General features: G+C 50.8%; 1 protein-coding gene across 6 annotated transcripts in view; it reads right to left on the bottom strand.

The window, feature by feature from the left end:
* IQSEC1 (IQ motif and Sec7 domain ArfGEF 1) overlaps nt 1–21,057 on the bottom strand; it is a 386,215-nt gene that overhangs the window by 243,235 nt on the left and 121,923 nt on the right. The window lies entirely within an intron of this gene.

Genomic DNA, 21,057 nt, shown 5'->3' on the forward strand with positions numbered 1-21,057 from the left:
ACAGGGCTCATGGCAGATTCACGCTGTCACCTCCTCCTTTTTGCAGGGCACCTGACACATAGTGGCAATGGAGCAGGGATTCAAAGAAGCCTGAGCTACATACCTGGTGTCTGTCTTCATGGAAATCATAGTTTAGTGAAAGACAAATGATGACAAAGAAAGTGAATTTGAGGCTCCCTGAACATAGGCCAGACCATCCTTTCCTGAGAACTTCACAGGTAAGCTGGGATCTCACTGGTGAGGAGTATGAACTGGGCAAGAGGGTGTAAGGAACTTCTCAGCAAGAGGGATTCCCATGGAGAAGTCATCAACGTGGGACAGAGCAGCTTGTGTTGCTACCAAAGGCCAGGGGGTGCCCAGACAGAGATGGGGCAATAAACAAGAGCTGAGAGACCATGCGCGCCCCAGCACAGGGAGCAATGCTGAGTGACAGATAAGCCCCATGTTGCAGGGCTGACCTCAGGGGTGCAGGGCTGGCCTGGGGGTGCTGTCTCCCCTGCTTCATGCCACCGTGGCTCTGTTCCGCATCCCACCCTCCCCTGGGTCTGGACTTAGGCTGACAGAGCAGGCTCTACTGGACCTCTGCCTTTGTCACAGCAGTAGGAAAGGAAGAGTGTCCTGCCAGCGCTGGTGTCATAGTGTGCGCCTGTGCCCCTCTCACTTGTCACCAGCCAACCCTCTGCCTTGCCTGAAGGCAACAAGGGGCAGGGCTGCCGGACCCTCTGACAGGGAGGGCACCACGACGAAGGGCACTGAGGGCACGCAGTAATCCCGCTCACTCCATGGTCAAGAGTTTGATGTTTATTTCCTACGAGCACGGAAAATCCGCTGACTATGTTTTCCATGCCTTACCAATCACTCTGGTCCTAGTGAGGAGAACAACAGATTGAAACTGGGCAGGAGTGAGTGGACTTGGGGAGAAAAATGAGGAAGCCAATTTGGTTTTCCATGAAAAAATGAAGGACACAACTTTAAGACTAGGATCAGAGCAATGGAAACGGAAAAGCATGGATGGATTTAAAGACAAGAGGCAGCCTCGATGTGCACAGGGTAGCAGATGAGAGATGTGCGGCCCAGGATGGCAAGAGGAATGCAGCAGCCGCATGCCAGCAGCTTGCCAGCCATGGGGCCGTCTCCCGGGGAGTCCAGAGTGCCCAGTCTGTGTCTGTTCTTGTGTTCCCTGGGTTCTCCTAATAAACCTCCCTTCTTGCTTAAAATAGAAAGCAAAAAAGCATGAGCTAAGTAAGGGAGGGAGAAGACGGATAAATGAGGCAGGGAGCTGATGAGTGGACTGACAAATGACTGGCAGGTGACCAGGGGAATTCATTCATGTCCCCAAATGCTCAAGTGAGGAGAAACTGGACTCACCCAGAAGAAAAAGAAAGCCTCCTCACTGGGTATCCCTCAGAGGGACCCCTCCCCTCCTCGACCTACATATCAGGGGTCTGTGTTCTTCCTGGGAAATGCTGCCAATTTCAGGTGCGACAAAGAAAGAGGTTAGAGAAAGACGGAGAGGAAAGGGGAAGGACAGGGAGGTGGATGATGGATGGGCTCCATGGAACCGTCACTTCATCTTCTCCTCCTCTCCCTGTGGCTTCTCGTTCAGAGGCCCAAACTTGACTGTCAGAGCTGGGAGAGCCAGGATGCACAAACACCCCAAAGGAGATTTTCGGCAGCAGCAGCAGCATCAGGCAACCACACAGGAACTTATAGCCTGGGGTTCATGTAGCCATAGAAGGGCCCAGATCCTCCCCTGTCTGAGTGACCTTGTCAGCCACGAAGAGGAAAGGTTTGAGACGCACAGTTGTGTGATCCTGGATTCAGCTCAGGTCATCCCCTCCATGGGTGCCTTGTGGTTCTGTCCGTGGTGCTGAAGCGCAGCTCTATGGCTGAAGAAACGCATTCTAAGACCATGCTACAGTATGTCAGAGCGCAGCGGGCTGCGGGAGTGCATTTACCCCAGGGCCTCACTTTGCTGATGACACAGCAGAAGCCCAGAGAGGGGAAGGGCTTCCCTGCAGGCTGCACAGGAGAGTCAGGGTGGGTGTGGAAGCAGCAGCCCCAGATGCATGCTCAGACACAGCCCCTTTCCTTTGGAAGCCACCCCAGGCCATGCCCACTGCCCAGAATAATCATCAGCTCTGAAACTCCAGACAGGTGATTTCCCCAAGGATGTTGGATCCCGCACAGGTGGAGATGGCTTCCCAGCCCCACTGATCTCTCTGACCCACCTCTGGCTGCCTTCCTCCCTGCTGCCCAGCTCCCTCACCAGCCTGCTTTCCGATCCTCCAAGGACAGAGATCTACAAACTACAGCCTGTAGGCCACATAGGGTTTGCTGCCCACTTTTGCAGGGCCCTTGAGCTAAGAAGGGTTTTTACATTTTTAAATGGTTGAAAACGTCAACAGAACACCATTTCATCACAAGTCAAAGTTCTGTGTAACTCCAGTGTCCATTGTTATTGCAGCACATCCAGGCCCATTCATTTACTTGCAGTCAAGGGCTGTTTTTAAACAATGACAGAGCTGAGTAGTTGTGGCAAAGGCTGCATGGCCCACAAAGCCCGAACTGTTTACCATCCGGCTATTGCCTACTCCTCTAGGAACCCCAGGCTGGCTCCCACCTCAGGAGATGTGCACCAGCTGCCCCTGCCTGGGACACTGTTCCCCTGTGTGCCACATGGTCCTTCATTTCCTCCTGTTCTCTTTGCAAATGTCACCTCTTCACAGGGCCCTTCTCTGTCCACCTTCCACACCTCCATGGATGCCCTCCACCCCATCCCGTCTCTTTCTTCATCTGGACTCATCTGATCCGAATTGGTCTTCGATGTGTCTGTGCACTCCCTCTAGAGTGTCAGCTCCTGGAGGACAGGAATCCCATCAGCCTTGCTCCTCCCTGGATCACACCTAATGACAGGCTGGCACATGGAGGGCACTCAGTGCATGCTTGTTGACTGAGTAACTGATGGCACCAGGAGAAGGAGCAGGCCTCGAAGCTGGGGGTGGTGGGGACCCCAAATCTTAGCTTCAGACAGAAGTCCCGCTCCTTTCTGGGATGGGTGAAATGGGGCCTGGGGAGGAGGTGGTCAGAGAGGGAAAAATGCCACCATGGATTCTGTTACACAGAAGCCAGCGGGTATGTGAGGAGGACAAAAGTATGCACATCCAGGAAGTGATGCACAGAGGACGCAGAGCCTTGGCCCTGAACCTGCTCTCTCAGCCATCACGCCATCTCCCACCCAAACAGGGGAGCAGCTCCAAATGCCCCTGGAGACAGTGGCCACATGACCTCGGCCTGACCAATCAGCAGAGCCAACCTCCATGGCCACAGTGATTGGCTAAGGTCTGGGCATGTGACCAATCAGGTGGTGAGGGTCAGGGCAAGGGCTGGTAGTGGCAGGGAGAGAAGGTCCATTTCTGTTGGGTGGCTGGGGCTGTGGGTGCCGCCTCATCACTTTTGAAGGGAACCAGTCCACCTGAGCATGACACTCACACTGAGGGAAGGAAGTAGAGCCAGGGAGGGGTTGGGAAAGGAAAGTCCAGGTGACATCACTGAACACCCAGATGCAGCCTTGCCTGATGCCAGCTGCCCTTAGATTTTTTAGTTGCATAAATCATTCCTCCTGCTTCGGTTGTCTGCACCACTTTGAATTGGGTTTTCTGTCCCCGGTAGAGGGTTCCTACCATCTGGCTAAAGGGAGAGCCCTGCAGCTGCAACAATGTGGATTTAGGTGAGCTTCCAACAAGAATCCTGGATGACACTGTGAGACTCCAAAACAGACTCCAAACAAGGCTTTAATCTTGAATTAAATCATGAATTCAAGCAGTATCTGTCGAGGGTGTGCTACAGGCTGGGCCACTCACGGTACCCAAATGAATCCTCAGGGAAGTAACCCTGTCAAGGTACCAACCCCTGTCCCCTCTTTAGCCGACAAAACAGAGGCTCAGGACATGGAGGGAACTAGACCACGGCCGGCGAGCATGCAGCTGGACTGCACGCCCGGGCTCTGGCTGCCTAGAAAGCCGTGTGCTGTGGCCAAACCCAGCCGTGGATGCCTGATATCTGGTCACCGCCACGTGGCTGTCAGGAGACTCATGGCAGCCACCCACATCAGAGGGAGGCAGGGAGAGTGCGGCTTGAGTCTTTTCCAGGACATTTGTTCTTGTCCTGCCTTCACCACCTCCCCACGCCTGTCCTGCCTTTCCCTCCCTCGGCATGGCATCAACAGTCACACTCATGTGACCACACAGACAATCCCCATTCACAGGGGAAGCCCTGGGGACATCTCCTTCCTCTGGGCCTTAAGAGACTTTACTCCCCCTGGGCACACCAGAGGCCTTTTCAGAATGTGCAGAAAGCCCACCGCGTCCCTTCCATGCTGCCCCTGAAACTCATCTCCCACACTCCCTCCTCCATCACGTGGCTCCCACGGCTGCCACTGGAGAGACAGAGCTGACAAGAAATCCACAGCCCAGCACCTGGAGGCACGAAAAGGCCAGGACTGATAGCCCAGGAGCTCTGCTGAGAAGGAACACAGGCTTCCCACAGAAGAGGCTGGGGAGGCCTCTGAAGTCTGGAAGCAGCGCTTGGGCCGAAGCGAATCCACAGGCTTTTGATGGCGAGAGACTCTGGCCATGGCAGGGCTAAGGCGAGGTCCCTGAGATGTACTGAAGGCCCACTGTGGGCAGGCTCAGAGAAGAAAAGGCAGCGGCCAGTCCCGGGAGTGTTCACAGACCCAAAACAGATGGGCAGGAAGGCACTGCCAGTCAGGCAGAAAGCACCCATGAGCTGCTTCCACCTGTGAAGGGTGGGGGGGCTGGCATGAGCCCCCCCATCTGCTGAGGAATGAGTTAAGGGCAAAGATGAGTAACCACGCCTCAACGGCTGTATCAGTTAGGAACAGGTTGGCCTGCAATGACAGAAAACCCTATGAAGAGTAGCTTAGAACACAAAGGCATCTAAAGTGTGGTGATAATGATGACATGAAAGACATGAGCAGCCCCGGGCTTGGCTGGTGGCTCACTACTCTCATCAGTGACCCAGGGCCACCCAGCTGTCTACTCCACCCCTAACAGAATGTTGATGTCACTCCCTCATGATCACAGTGTGGCTGCCCCACTCCAACCATCACATCTGCAGTCGGTACTCATGCCAGAAGCAAGGGAAGCATCTTCTTTTTGGCCACTTCTTTCTTTTCAGAAAAGACAATCCCTCACAGAAGCCCCCATAGGCTCCCTCTAATGTCTCACTGGCAGAACTGGCACAAGCCCCTGCCCCAGCCAGTCTCAAGCAGGAGGGAAAGAGACAGTCATGACCGACTTGGCCCAACCATGACTTTCCAAATTGAGCTTCCACACGAAGAAGGCGGAGCGGGGTGGGCAAAGGCCACTGTGTGAGCATCCAACCACACCCTGTCCCAGAGGAGGCGTGGACAAAGTAGCTGGGGGCCCAAAGCGCAAGGAACAGAACAGCAGAGGGAGCTCTTGCAAAGGGGCGGTTTGGGGAGTGAACCTGGGCGCCCGGGGGCGGGGGGGGGGGGTCCTGATCATTGGGAACAAGTTGTGGGGGAAACACTAGGCAGGACTGGGGTGACATTCTGTCCTGGCGTGGGGCAGGCAGGCAACATGCAGTTACTGAGTCACAGAGAGCCATGGTATGGGTGCATGAGCAGGAGGGAATCTCAGGCGGGTGCAGACCCTGCACTTTATGTTGTTTTTATTTTTATTTTTTCAAGAGACTAACGTCTGTCACTCAGGCTGGAGTGCAGTGGTGCAATCATCGCTCACTGCAGCCTTGAACTCCTGGGCTCAAGTGATCCTCTTGCCTCAACCTCCTAAGTGGCTGGGACTGCAGGCATGTACCACCACACTCAGCTATTTTTTTTTTTTTTTAAGAAATGGGGTCTGGCTATGTTGCCCAGGCTGGTCTTGAACTCCTGGCCTCAAGTAATCTTCCCACCTTGGCCGCCCAAAGTTCTGGGATTACAGGTGTGAGCCACCGCGTCTGGCCAGTCCCTGCTCTTTAGAGACATAAATACTATCCCTTCACGTGTCAACTTCACTGTAAGAGTTCACCCCAAGTCTCTGTCTCTTTCCTTTTCTGGTGCCTCCGCACCCTTCTGTCCTGATTTAGAAGCCAGGAATTTAGCACAGCCAGGCTAGGAGGGAACGGCAGCACACGACACGGTGGGCGGGCAGTGATGACCCCCATAAAACCTCAGCCACCAAGGACAGCTGCAGCCAAGGGCTGAGCCTGAGCTGGTCAGAATAACTCACTCGAGGGCAGGGCGCAGTGGCTCATGCCTGTCATCCCAGCACTTTTTGAGGCCAAGGCAGGCGGATCATTTAAGGCCAAGAGTTTGAGACCAGCCTGGCCAATATGGCGAAGCTCCGTGTCTACTAAAAATACAAAAATTAGCCAGGCGTGATGGGGGACGCCTGTAATCTCAGCTACTCGAGAGGCTGAGGCACGAGAATCACTTGAACACAGGAGGTTGTAGTAAGCCAAGATCAGACCACAGCACTCCAGGCTGGGTGACAGAGTGAGACTCTGTCCCTGCTAAAAAAAAGAATAACCTTGTCAATGTGGCAATCCTGCTCCGGGCTGCATAAAAGAAACGTGGGTGTGGAAGTCAAGGGTCCCGAGGGCCAGCCCAGCCCTCTAGAGTGCAGGGTTCAGAGTATCACTGTGAAGTCACAGCTCTGGGCCTCAAAGCTCCAGCACTTGGCAAGTGACAAAAAGCAAAGAGAACCTCAATTTCCTCATCTGTAGCTGGGAGTATGGTACCTCCCTCTGCAGGTTGGAAGGTAATGGCAGGAGAGCCCAGGGGCTAGCCAGGGATGAGGCCTGCCCATGCCAAGCCACTGCTGCTGTCCTTTTAATGTTGTTATTATTAATATACTTTTATAGCTTTTGGTGTACAAGCGGTTTTTGGTTATGTGGATGAATTGTATAGTGGTGAATTCTGAGACTTCAGTGCAGGGGTCACCAGGGTAGTGTACATTGTACCTGATACATATTTTTTTTCCCAGCCCCCCTCCCACCCTCCCTCTTCTGAGTCTGTGAGGTCCATTATATCACACCGTATGCCTTTATGTACTCATAGTTTAGCTCCCACTTATAAGTGAGAACATGGCAGTTTTTGTTTTCCACTCCTGAGTTACTTCACTTAGAATTATGGCCTCCAGCTTCATCCAAGTTGCTGCAAAAAGACATTATGTCATTCCTTTTTATGGCTGAGTAGTATTCCATGGTGTAGACATACCACATTCTCTTTATCCACTCATTAGTGGATGGGCACTTAGGTTGGTTCCACATTTTTGCAATTGTGAATTGTGCTGCAATAAACATGTATGTGCCGGTGTCTTATTTTTGAGACAGAGTCTCACTCTATTGCCCAGGCTGGAGTGCAGTGGTGCACTCTCAGCTCACTGCAACCTCCGCCTTCCAGGTTCAAGCGATCCTCCTGCCTCAGCCTCCCAAGTAGCTGGTACCACAGGCGCATGCCACCACATCTGGCTAATTTTTGTAGTTTTAGTAGAGATGAGGTTTCACCATGTTGGCCAGGCTGGTCTCGAACTCCTGACCTCAGGTGATCTGCCCGCCTAGGCCTGCCAAAGTGCTGGGATTACAGGCGTGAGCCACCACGCCCAGCCGACAGGTGTCTTTTTGATATAGTGACTTCTTTTCCTTTGGGTAGATACCCAGTAGTGGGATTGCTGAATCCAATGGTAGATCTACTTTTAGTTCTTTAAGGAATCTCCATACTATTTTCTACACAGGTTGTACTAACTTACACCACCAGCAGTGAATAAGTATTCCCTTTTCACCATGTCCACACCAATATCTATTGTTTGTGACTTTTTAATAATGACCTTGGGTAGGCCACTTCCTCTGTTTGCCTCAATGTCCTCATCTGTACTGGGGTGCTGATAACAGGACCCTCCTCCCCACCCAGGAGAGCACCATAGAGACACTCATCATCGCCATCCTCACAGAGGGAGGGAGGAGGGAGGCCTGGTACGGGGGCAAGGTAAAATCCGGGGGCCCTCGGTCACATCCACCCCTCTCCCCAAGCCCGGCACAGCCCGCCTCTGAGCCACCATGCATGCTGTTCCCCATGCATACCTACACTCTGCCACGAATCAAATCATGAATCTTAAACCAGGAGTCTTGAGGGAGGGTCCAGAGGCCACGTCTAGAATTTCTGAATTCATTCTAACACTTAAGAAGTGAAAGGCACTGGGAAAAAAAATTGCAGGTTTATGGGTTTTTGTTTTGTTTTGTTTTTGGTATGAAATGGGATTTGGCCTCCTGGGTGACATTCCCTCAAGCACCAGTCTCTGGAGCTGGGTCAGAGCCATCCTCTGGTTGGAGTTCCTGGTTCCAGGTCACCACAGTCCCCGGGGCTCCCTGGCCCAGGCCCTGTCCCTGCCTCTCCATGCCTGGCCCCTGCAGGCTTCTGAGTTTGTTGTCCTCACTTCAAGCCTGTGGAGTGTCACATCTGTCACCTGGGAAATGAGGACACGTCAGGCTAGCCTGCTTTGGCTCCCAAGTGGATTAAAGGGGCTGAGAATGCAGCCCTGGAGCAGGGGCTGGCGAGACCCCCTGAAGGGTAACCTCTCCCGCATCCTTTCCAGGGGAGCCAAGGCTACAGGGAAGGGAGAGGTGGCCGAGGCTCGGACCCTGGCAAGAGCTGGGAAGAACCGCTGCTGGGCAGCGTCCTCTGGAAGGCAGCATCCCCTGTCATCCTCCAATGCTGCCCCTCACCACCAGCCCCTCGCCTCCCCTTCTTGCTTACTCTGTCTGGGCAGTCCCCACACCCGCCATGCTGGGGGTTGGATTCCAGGGTTAGCACTGACAGCTGCAGCCTCTCACAGTGATGAGTGCAGGCCCCCCACATCCCAAAGCGCAGCTCATCCAGCACAGCAGGGCTGTGAGGTGGCTGCTGTTTGACCCATTCACAGTGGGAACCTCAGATTCCCAAGGGCCAGGCTTGCCCAAGGCCACACAGAGGACAGAGCCTGGGTCCGCAGGATTTGAAAGCCGTCCTGAAGAGCAGACCTCCTCCCCACAGACAGGCTGCTCCCCAGGCCATTCCACTCAGGGGAGGGAAGCACAGACAGGGTGAGTGTGTCGTGGGGGCCGGGGTGGGGGGGCGGACAGAGGACAGGCAGGGACAGGACCAAATTCCCCCGAAGAGCAGAGTCTTGAAGTGCGAGGGGCACTGCAAGCTGGGGAGGAGGGGAGAGGGTGTCCCCGGGGGAGGACGCAGCCTGTCAAAGGCCCGGAGGGTGATGCACCCTGGGAAATCCGGCTCCTCTATTGAGGCGGGAGCTGTAGGACGTGATGGGAGGTGAGACTGGAAGGTGTCATCCCCGTGTGCAAGCCCCAGACTCCCCCTCCTGCCTGACCCAGGCCCTGGCAGCTCCGCCTCCCCCAACCCCTGTGTTCCCCTCTGTCCGCTGCCCCAAGGCCCAGCCGCAAAGCTGGCTCCTCCGCCTTCTGCACTGCCATGTTGCCCTGCCTTGGTGCAGATACCACAGAGGGACCCCTGCCCTCTACATGATACAGGTTCTCATCACTGAGGGGTACAGTCATGACCTGTCTTCAAAGTTTATAGGAAATGAAAACTGAAAGTAAAAATCATCCAGGCTATTGATGGTCTCAGTGAGGCAAGGGTGACAAACAGTCCCTAGGCTCCCGGGAACGGTCCTGCCAGACCCTGGTTCTAGAGGGAGAGTGGGAGGAGGGAGAAGAATCCGACCTGCAGTGCCCTATTACACCTCAAATTTTCTCTTAATACACAACCTCTAGACCAGCCCTGAATGATGAGACACTTTAGAGACACGAGTGAAAAATGAGGAACAAATGGACTATGCACTTTTTCCCAACAGGGTCAAGAAGTTTAATATTTTAATACATATTAGAGTTCCTTTTCTCCAAAACTGCAGGCTGCATAGGCTGGAAGGCATCTAAGAAATTATACGGACAAGATCAGACACCTGGGAAGTCCTAAATCTGTCTCCTCACAGTGAGCGTTCAGGCTGAGGCTTGACCATGTCCTGATCTTTGCCTTCATTCTGCAAAGGGAATGTGGTTGGTTTTTCGAATTAAGTTTTTAAACTTGTCAGCTTAGCAGGGAACTTGTCAGTTCCAAACCCATCTTTCTAGCAATAAGCAGGTTGGACCATGCGTGAGGTGGCCTGTTCCCAAGTTATTTATTAGAATCTGCAGACACCAGCCAGGAAGGAGACAGCACACCACATTTCCAAACAAGCGCCTGCATGGGGAAGAGTCGGGGCAGCAGGAGTTCAGGAGGAGGAACAAGGGGTGCCCTGGAAGATATTGGCTCCTGATGTTTTTAGTGGGAGTCTCCACCTTCATGCATTCGATCTCCTCACAAGCACCTGGAGAGGACAGTGGGTGGGAGCTGAGTGTGGCTCTCACCCACGGCGGGAGGGCTGAAAATCACACAGTTGTGGTCCCTGGCACAGCCTGACCCCAGGCAAGTACGTGGGAAAGTGCCCTCCAAGACTGCTGTACTGCGTAAGACAGGGCTCAGCTGCTGAGACAAAGAGCCCCACCTGAGAGTGGTAAATAGAAATTTGTGTCTCTGGCATTTCAGTGTGAAAGCAGATGGTCCAGGGCTGGCCTGGTGGGGCAGGGCCAGGGAGCTCTTCTCCCTCATGGCCCTGTCATCCCAGGGGGGCTGCCCTCATCCTCCTGGGCCAGGATGGAGCTGCAGCCTCAGAGATGAAGTCCCCAGCAGCAGGACAGGCACAGGGTCAGAAAGAAGGGTCTCTGTGAGGAAATATCTCAGAAGTCGACACAAATCACTTCCCTTCCCACGCTGGAAGGACAGCTTGGTTGTACCAGCAACCTCGTTGCAAAGGAGGCTGGGAAATTCTATGTCTCAGCAGCCACATGCCCACCTAACGTCAGGTATTGGGCTTCTCTAAGAGAGAGGTGGACGATGCTATCGGGAGCCCCTGTCACAGCCCCTTCTGCCCCCAGTCACTCCCAACCCTAGTGCATGTTGTAGCAGAGTGTCAGTCAGACAGATTGCATTGTGTGTGCTGGTCCCTGAGTGATTCATCATTCAGGGACCAGCTGAAAATCATGGCCCAACAGGGGCTGTTTATTAGATTTGCTGGAAAATGGTTGGTGGATGTCCATTCCTAGCCCTGAGTCTCTCTGGCATGCAAAGGTGACAGGTCAGGGAAGTAGGGGAACAGTAGCAAAGTTCAGAATGGGAGCACGATGGGGTCGGGGAGGCCCCACACCAAAGGACAAGGGTCGAAACAGGGGCAGGCTCGGTGGCCTGAACATCTGAATTCTACCCACAAGGTCATGTTGGAGGGAGGAAGTACCATCATGTCTACATCACTAGAAAGAGTTCTCTTCAGCCGGACACAGTGGCTCATGCCTGTAATCCCAGCACTTTGGGAGGCCGAGGCGGGAGGATCACCTGAGGTCAGGAGTTCAAGACCAGCCTGACCAACATGGTGAAACCCTGTCTCTACTAAAAATAGAAAAATTAGCTGGGTATGGTGGCAGGTGCCTGTAATCCCAGCTGCTTGGGAGGCTGAGGCAGGAGAATCACTTGAACCCAGAAAGCGGAGGTTGCAGCGACCCAAGATCGAGTCACTGTACTCCAGGCTGGGTGACAGAAGCGAAACTCCATCTCAAAAAAACAAAACAACAACAACAAAAACAAAAACAAAAAAAGAGAGAGTTCTATTCCTCATAAGTCAGACTCCCCACAGATACTGCATCAGATTTGAAAGTAAAATAATATTTCCCAAATATCTAATTAGCAAGGATCAGAACAATTGCAATAGTCAGAGTGGAGAGGATGCAGGGAGGCTGCATCTTAGATGCTTCTCTTGGAAAACGTATGCGGCAATATGGATTAAGAAACTGTGAAATCTTTTTAGCCTTTGACCTAGTAATTCTACTTCTGGGAACATAATGAAGAAAATAATCAGGGAGGCTGACAAGGATTTACATGCCAAATGTTCACTGCAGCATTACTGAAATTGAAAGCAACTTTAATGATCTATCAATGGGAAAACAGTAAAGAATAAATATCATATTGCTTTAAATGAATGTTTAGAAATATTAATACACTATTTTCAAATAATAGCTGTAGAAACCATGGAGCTCTCTGAGACATGAAACTTCATGAGTCTCAAAGGGCACTTGTTTTTTCCTCTCAAGTCTCTCTTCCTCATCTGCTCTATCTCAGTAAAAAGCACTGCTGTCCTCCCAGTTCTTCAAGTCAAAAATCCAAATTTGTTCTTGGTTCCAGCTGGGCGTGGTGGCTCACGCCTATAATCCCAGCACTTTGGGAGGCTGAGACGGGCGGATCACCTGAGGTCCGGAGTTTGAGACCAGCCTGGCCAACATCGTGAAACCCTGCCTCTACTAAAAATACAAAAATTAGCCGGGTGCGGTGGCTGGCGCCGTAATCTCAGCTACTCGGGAGGCTGAGGCAGGAGAATCGCTTGAACCTGGGAGGCAGAGGTTGCAGTGAGCCAAGATCACGCCATTGCACTCCAGCCTGGGTGATAGAGCAAGACTCCGTCTCAAAACAAAACAAAACAAAAACAACCAAATGAAAAAAAAGTGTTCTTGGTTCTTTTCTTTCTCTCTCAGGAGACAGCCACTCCCTAAGCAAGTCCTGTAGGGGCACCTTCCAGTGAATACCTCTGGGCTGTCCCCTCTCCTCCCTACCCCCATCCTCCCTCCCATGCCTCCCCGCCTTTTCTTTCCCCTCCCCTATCTACTCCTTTCACTCCCTCTCCCCTCCTTCTCCCCTCTCCCCTCCCTCTCCTCTCCCCTCCAGTGTCCAGGCCAGGCTAGGGCTCCTCTCTCAGGGCTGACCCCCGTGTCCTCCTCAGGGCTCCTGGCTTCCTCTCTCAGCCCAGAGCCCCTGTGCCCAGCAGCCAGAGGAGTCTGGTCCAGCGGAAGTTGAAGCAGGCAACCCCTGCAGGACTGCTCCAGCAAATCCCCTACCCTTTAGAACAAAACTCCAAGCCCGTCCTGTGGAAGTGGACTTGGACTGGTGAGGGGTGTAAGAGACAGCCCCTGGTCCAGCCGGCCAGGCCTGAAGGTCCTGGAAGAGGAGAGAAGGTCTCATTAGCAGAAGTTCAGTCATCGGGGCTGAACTAGGGATAGTTCAGTTTGGAGACCCAGAGCAAAGTGCACTCATAGAGGGCTGCCCTGCCACCAAGGGGGCTGCTCCCAGCCCCAGTCCCCAGCCTACCCCTGTCCTATGTGTTCCTGCCACTCTGGCTTTCTTCGACCTAAGATGCCTCCTGGCCAATTCCTGTGGTCACACCCAGACAATGGAGCCCTGCCAGACCCACCCCCTTCAGAAGCTGTCCCCACCCCTCCTGCAGCAGGTGGGCATGCACGGTGCTGTGCGTGTCTTTCCTTTGTAGCTATGAACAGGTGGCTCTGGATTGTAGATGGTTTCTGTCCTTGTCTCACCTTCCCAGCTGGGCAGTGAGGTCTTTACAGTGGGATCTGTGTCTGAGCCATCTCCAGGAGCCCAGTGGAGCTTGGCTGGGTGGCTGGTATTCAGGCTCCCCAGAGAGGAAACCACACGTGCAAAGAGATGGAGGTATGAGTGTGCCTGTGGCAAACTGGACGCTTCAACATGTGTAGTGGGAGGGGAAGGCTGGAGTGGGTGGAAAGGTCATCATGAGGCAGGGCATGGAGGGCCCCAAAGCCAACGGGATGAAAATCGAGGACGGATTTTAAGGACAGCAGCACTGGGTGACCACACATTGGCCTGTTATGCATATAGAAAATCCACATGGGGGAGCCAAGGGTCCCCACAACACTCCCACCCTGTCCCCAGCCCACTTCTTGCTTCCTGGTCCTGCTCTCTTGTTGCGGGGAAGAAGAATCTTATCTGACTGGTGGAACTCTAGGACCATCCCTGGACACCATCATTAGTGGGCAGGGTCACCGCATGTTCAAGGCTGTGCACCCCAAGCTGCCAGACACGCACAAGGGCAGGGCCTTCTGGATCTTCCTCAGGCTCCTTAGGAACCCAGGAGGAAGCTCCCTGATGGGTGCTAATGGGCATCTGCACCCACAGATTCACTGCCTGACATGGAAACACACCAGGAAGCTGGAACTTACATGCATATATATATATATATATATATATATATATATATATATGCAAAAACTGATACAACTGAAGGGAGTCATCCGTTATTCATTAGACAGTTACTCATTAATAGGTGGTGCTTCAATACCCTGTTCTCCATAACAATAGAACAACCAGACCGGAGATAAGTAAGGAAGCAGAATTGAGTACTTGAGCAACTCAAGACATCAACTAGATCTAACAGGACACTCCACTCAACAGAACGCAGAGTCCTCTAGTGGATGTGGACTTTCTCCAGGATTGACCACAGGGTAAGCCACAATTTAAGTCTCAAGCAATTTTAGAAAATAGCCTACAAAGTAACTTCTGGGACCACAGTGGGATGAAGTAAGAAATCAACAATAGAGGAAAAACCTAAAAATTCACAAAGTTATATAAGTTAAACAACACCCTCTTAAAGACCAATAGGTCAAAAGAGAAAGACCAATAGGTCAAAAGAGAAATCACAAGGACAATTAGAAAGTACTTAGAGGAGAAGAAAAAAAACACAACATAGCAAAGCTTATGGAACACAGCGAAAGTAGTACTAAGGAGGAAATTTATAGCTTGATACGTTAAATAAAAAGGAAGATCTTAAATCAACAAAATAACTTTACAACTTAAGGAACTAGTAAGAAACAAACAAAGTAAACCCAATGCTGGCAGCAAAAGAAAATAATAAAGATTATAGCAGAGATAAACTGATAATATCAATAAATAATAACAGTAAACAAATAACAATAATAAATCCAAACAAAAGTTGGTTCTCCCAGAAGATTGACAAAATTGACGATTCACCACTTAGATTGACCAAGAATAAAAAGACTCAACTAAAATCAGAAGTGAAAGTTAGAATTTTATTACTGATTTTGTAGAAATATAAGGATTATATGAGAGTCCTGTAAGTAATTGTACAAGAAATCATATAACCTAGATGATTCAAATTCCTAGAAACACCAAACCTACTGAGACTGAATTACAAAGAAATAAAAAATCTGAATGGACTCATAACTAATAAGGAGACTGAATTAGTAATCAAACACCTCCTGACAATGAAAAGCCCTGGACCTGATGGCTTCAACTGATGAATTCTACCAAACATTTCCAGAAGAAATCACAACAAACCTTCTCCAACTCTTCCAAAAACTTCAAGTAGGGAGTGCTTCCTACATCATTCTGTGAGGCCAGCATTGTCTTGTACCAGAGCTAAACAAAGACATTACAAGAAAACAACACACTAATACCTCTTATGAACATTGATGCAAAAATCCTCAGCAAATATCAGCAACAAAATTCAGTAGCCCAATAAAAGAATTCTGCAGCATGACTAAGTGGAATTTATTCCTGGAATGCAAGGATGGCTCAACATCCAAAAACTGTTCACTGTAATGCATACCAGAATTAAGAGGAAAAAAAACACATGGCCATCTTAATTGGTGCAGAAAACATACTTGACAAAATTCAACACTTTTTCATAATAAAAACACTAAACAAGGCTGTGTGGTGGCTCATGCCTGTAATCCCAGCACTTTGGGAGGCCAATGCGGGTGGATTACCTGAGGTCAGGAGTTCAAGACCAGTCTGCCCAACATGTAGAAACTCCGTCTCTACTAAAAATACAAAAAAAAAAAAAAAAAAGTAGCTGGGCATGGTGGTGCACACCTGTAATCCCAGCTACTCAGGAGGCTGAGGCAGGAGAATTGCTTGAACCTGGGAGGCAGAGGTTGCAGTGAGCTGAAACTGCACTGCTGCACTCTAGCCTAGGTGATAGAGCGAGACTCCGTCCCAAAAAAATAAAAATTAAAAATAAAATAAATAAAATAAAAACACTAAACAAAATAGGAATGGAAAGAAACTACCTCAACATAATGAAGACCATATACAAAAAATCCACAGCTAACATCATACTCAGCAGTGAAAGACTGAAAGCTTTTTAGCTAAGATCAGGAACAAGACAAGGATGTCATTTTTGTCATTTGGGCTCAACATAGTATTGGAAGTCCTAGATAGGCAATTAGGAAAGAGAAAGAAGTGCATGATGGAGGGACAGAAGTGGGAGCATTCAGGCATGTGGACAGACAAGCTTAGCACATTTAGCTCTGGCCTCCTTCCAGAGGTGCTCCCCTTGGATGTGGGAAGTGGCAAGTACAGAGACCAAAATAGCATGCTGTGCCAGGGCACATGGCAGAGCACTGAGGCACAGCACTGCATAAGACAAAGTTCCTGCTGACATTCCAGTGGGGACAGGCAGATAAGGGACAGAAGTAAACTGGCTGATGTGCAGAGATTGGCTAGGTTACTTCAGGTGAGATGATAAGGGAAGAGGAGCTGACATCTGAAGGGGGATTGGACTGAGGAGAACTCATCTTGGGTGAGACCTGGGGGAGCATGTTCTAGGCTGAGGGAACAGCACAGGCAAAGGCCCTGGGACACTAATGAGCTTGGAAGAATGGAGGTACCAGAAGGCCAGAGTGTGATGACCACAGTGATGGAGGAGAGAATGGAGAGTCAGATGTGGACAAGATCAAGAAAACTCTTGATGTTTTCATTTCCATTTGAGATAAGGACACTGAGGCTCAGGGAATTTGAGTCATTTGACCAAGGTCATTCAGCTTAGACCCTGGTTTCAAAGTCCTCACTGTCCCAAACACTGGACCTGGGTCAGATGCACACATACACATTGTGTCACCACCTTCTAAGTACCTTTAAGATTTGGTTGCAATAGAAGCAGATGTTTAGACAAGGCTTACCAAATGTATTTTGGGATTTAGTCTAATTCCCCATTAGTAGACTCCCTTGCCCCCACACCAATATCTCTGCCTCATCTTCTAAACAGTCAGTTATTAATTCTCTACACAAGTTCACAGAAAACAAATCAAAACGCAAAATACACCCAGTCAGATAGGTTTTTGCCCAGTGACTTCAATGTGGCTCCTATAAGATCTTTCTACTTCCCGTGTAAAGAAAGGCCCAGTAGTGCCTCTGAAAGCAGGCTGAGGGTATCCAGAGGCCATTCAAGGGTCTCAGGGACCCACAATTCATAGGCCACACAGCAGAATGAACACAGCTGAAGAAAGCACTAGTGAACTAGAAGACCATCCTGAGGAAATTGCTCAGGATACAGCACAGAGTCAAGGAGATGGAAAAGTAAAGTCCACCACAGTCAAGAATGCCCAAGAAATCTCAATCATAAACCCAGGGGAGCAAAGGAAGGAAGGAGGACAGCCAAAAGGGCACACTCTACAAGCAGCTGCTACCACCTCCTGCTCATGTAAACATGGGCTTGCCTCAGACCCTCCCTCAGGATTCTGAGCAGCCGCGTCTCCACAGACTGTGGCAGAGGGAGAAGAAAGGAAATGGATGTTAACTGAATGCTATGACATGGCATGTGCTGTTCCATCTATGCCTCATTTAATTGGTCCATGGCCTTGAGGCTAAAGTCTTTGCTCCGATTTCATCATGGGGCAGAAATTAACTGTATCTCATTGGTCTTCACACCCTTAGTAGTTAGCACAAAGACACAGTAGGTGCTCAATGAAGACTGTTAAATGAGTGTGAAATCTGAGGCTTGGAGAGCTCAGGGGCTGTTGCATAGTGACATGAGGGTAAGACAAAGAGAAAGGATTTGAATTCAAGATTATCTGCCCCCAGTGTCTGTACTCTTTTGATTCCACCGTGCTAAGAAATGTCCACTCGCCTCCAGAGGCCGCCGGCTCAGCCCTCAGTCCAGCACCTCCAAAACATGGCTGGATAGCGGCAGAGGGACCCGGCCCAGCCCCAGCCCGTCTCTCACATTTGGAGCCTGCTCCCATTCCTTCCTGGAGAGAAAGAGTTCAGCTCTGTCTACCTGGCACAGCAAACACTCCCAGCTTTGTCTGCCACGTTCAGCAGTTTTCATACCTCCTTGTGAACAAAATAAACTGTGTGTTCTCATTTTGGGTTTGGGGAAAAAGGCCCAGTTAATTACAAAGGCTGCTTTGCCTTGGTATGGAGACAGAAAACTGGATTTGTTTGGACTAATTACGTTTACTCACACATCTTGGTTCCAGCTGAGTCAATGCTGGTAACCAGGCCCACCGTCTCCAGAATCTCCCCCACCATCCCCAAACAAAACAGTCCTTGGGCTCTCCTCATTGTCCCAGCCCTGAGCCTTGCTGTTGCCTTTGGAAAATGCCAGTCAACGTTCAGAGTCCTGACGGGGAGGCGACCTACATGGGACCACCTCATGCAATATGCTTCTAAGGTCAGGGCTGGGCGTGGTAATCCCAGCACTTTAGGAGTCCGAGACAGGCAGATCACTTGAGCCCAGGAGTTCAAGTTCAGCCTGGGCATCATGACAAAACCCTGTCTCTACTAAAAATACAAAAATTAGCCAAGCGTGGTGGTGTGCGCCTGTAGTCCCAGCCACTCAGGAGGCTGAGGCACGAGAATCGCTGGAACCCAGGAGGCGGAGGTTGCAGTGAGCTGAGATCACACCACTGCATTCCAGCCTGGGTGACAGAGTAGGACTCGGTCTCAAAAAAAAAAAAATTCTTCTAAGTGTTAGAAGCAAAATTTCTGCACTTCAGTCAGCTCATGCTTATGAAGGGTACGTGTCTGCCACTGGACACTGGCATACTTGGAGAAATTCTGTTTCCTTGGAGAGACCATATGTTCAGGCAGCCTGTTAAGATCATGTGGGCGCTTATTTAAAATGCAGATTCAGGCTGGGCACAGTGACTCACCCTGTAATCCCAACACTTTGGGAGGTTGAGGCAAGCGGATTACTTGAGGTCAGGAGTTTGAGACCAGCCTGGCCAACATGGTGAAACCTGTTTCTACTAAAAATATAAAAATTAGCTGGGCCTGGTGGCAGACACCTGCAATCCCAGCTTCTCGGGAGGCTGAAGCAGGAGAATCGCTTGAACCTGGGAAGTGAAGGTTACAGTGAGCCGAGATCACGTCACTGCACTCCAGCCTGGACAACAAGAACAAGACCCCATCTCAAAAAAATGTAGATTCCCAGACCCTGCCCAGACCTACTGAGTGAGGCATGAAAGGGATAGGGCCTGGCAATCTGTATTTTCAACAAGCACCACAGGCGACACTGACTTGCGAAGGCTTTGGTGCACAGCATCCCACCTTTGCACTCGAAATCCACGTCATCCTAGGCAAGCTGTTTTGTACTTCTCAGCCTCAATTTCCCAGAGCTGAAAAAATAAGGGCCAATAATAACTCTCTTACAAGGGTGCGGGTGGTTGTGCAGATGAGGTGAGACCCCCACCCACAGTGAGAACTCATTGAATGGAACTTATTCCTATGACTGAATGTAGCTGAGTTAATTTCAAGGATTTGACGGAGTGCTGGGGGAAAAAAGATAATGCTTGCACCCTGCAGAAAGCCCTGGCACTTTCAAACCAGTATCCACATTCTCTCTAGACCCTCCACCCGGTCATTCATTTTTGCAGACTCCAAACTCCACAAACCTCTTCTCTTCCTATGGTCCCTCTTCCATAAATAAATCATTAGAAGATTCACATTTGAGGGCCTCCAGAGCCTTCCTCTTAGTGGAGTCAAAAGCAGACACATCCTCCCGGGGAACAATGAGCAAAGTCCTACATTTGCAAAATGGTCAAAAAATGAGTCATTTCATTTGTGGAAAATGAATATATCTGATCTTGCAAATGTTTTGCCTCAGGGGAAAGTAGTGAGCGTGAATTCACAAACAGGCTTCTCCATGCAAAAGCACTTCCCTGCTGCTCCGGAGGCTAAGAAAAGCAAACCAGAAAGGTGGCAACTCCGATCATTTGAGTCTAAAGAACAAGAATCTCACCAAGCAGGGACCTTGGGGCAGGGCAAGAGCTGGTGGGGAGGAGGTGTCTCTCAGGGCTATCCTTAATTTTTTAAATTTATTTTTGGTAGAGACGGGGTCCGGCTATGTTGCCCAGGCTAGTCTTGGACTCCTGGCCTCAAATGATCTTCCTGCCTTGGCCTCCCAAAGTGCTGGGATTACAAGTGTGAGCCCCCAAGCCCTGCCCCTGTGTGTCCTTAATATTTAGCACAAGCCATGAGCTCTCAAGGTCAGTCATATTTTCCTTAGGCAAATAAAATCCATACACAGCTTCACTGATTTTTCAAGTGCAGAATCTCTGCCCATTAATTTTAGTGAGTGTTTGGTAAGGGGAGGGTGTTGCGGGGGCAGTCTCCACTGAGCATGGGAGTGGTCCATTTTTCCTCTTCCTTCTGGTTTCTGGCCTGAAAATATTTATGAGTCCTGAGTCCAATCAAACACACATGAACATGTGCCTGTTCTGTGCAAGGCATCCTGCCCAGGGCTCCCAGCAAGGCCAAGATGAATCCACTGCACAGACACCCCCTGGGTGCCTGTTCTGTGCCCCACAGGTGCTGGCACCATCGAGCCACAACTCAGGGGCCTCATCCCTGTCCTGGGGGTCTTCCTCTGCCTGAGAGGAAAGACAAATGCTTAAGTCATTTGGACACAAAGCAGAAGGGACTGGGATATCAAAAGTGAAGCATAAAAGGCCACAGAGACAACCAGGAGGCCACCCTGTCAGCCCCAGCTCCCCTGAAAGCTCCAGAAAGGCAGCTGCCATGGGGGCTCTGAGAAAGGAAGGGATCTTCGGGGGGTGGAGTGGAGCATTTTCTAAACATAGGAAACATCCTGAGTCACACACAGCAGGGGGCAGGCACGCAGGAATCATGGGCCGCATTTAGAAAGGCGAGTGGCATCATTTGGTGGGAGCTGGAGGTGCGCATGGGAAGGCTGTGGAAGCGCAGCTGCGCTGGTAGGGGTGTGGCGTCCAGGGACCACCAGGGCCACTGCCACAGTGTGTCAGCCCAGGGGGAGTGCGGGAGGAGAAGCGGGGGAGGGCCGTGGTCACACTTTAGTT

Source organism: Homo sapiens, chromosome 3 (assembly GCF_000001405.40).
Source record: "Homo sapiens chromosome 3, GRCh38.p14 Primary Assembly".
Classification (NCBI taxonomy): domain Eukaryota; kingdom Metazoa; phylum Chordata; class Mammalia; order Primates; family Hominidae; genus Homo; species Homo sapiens.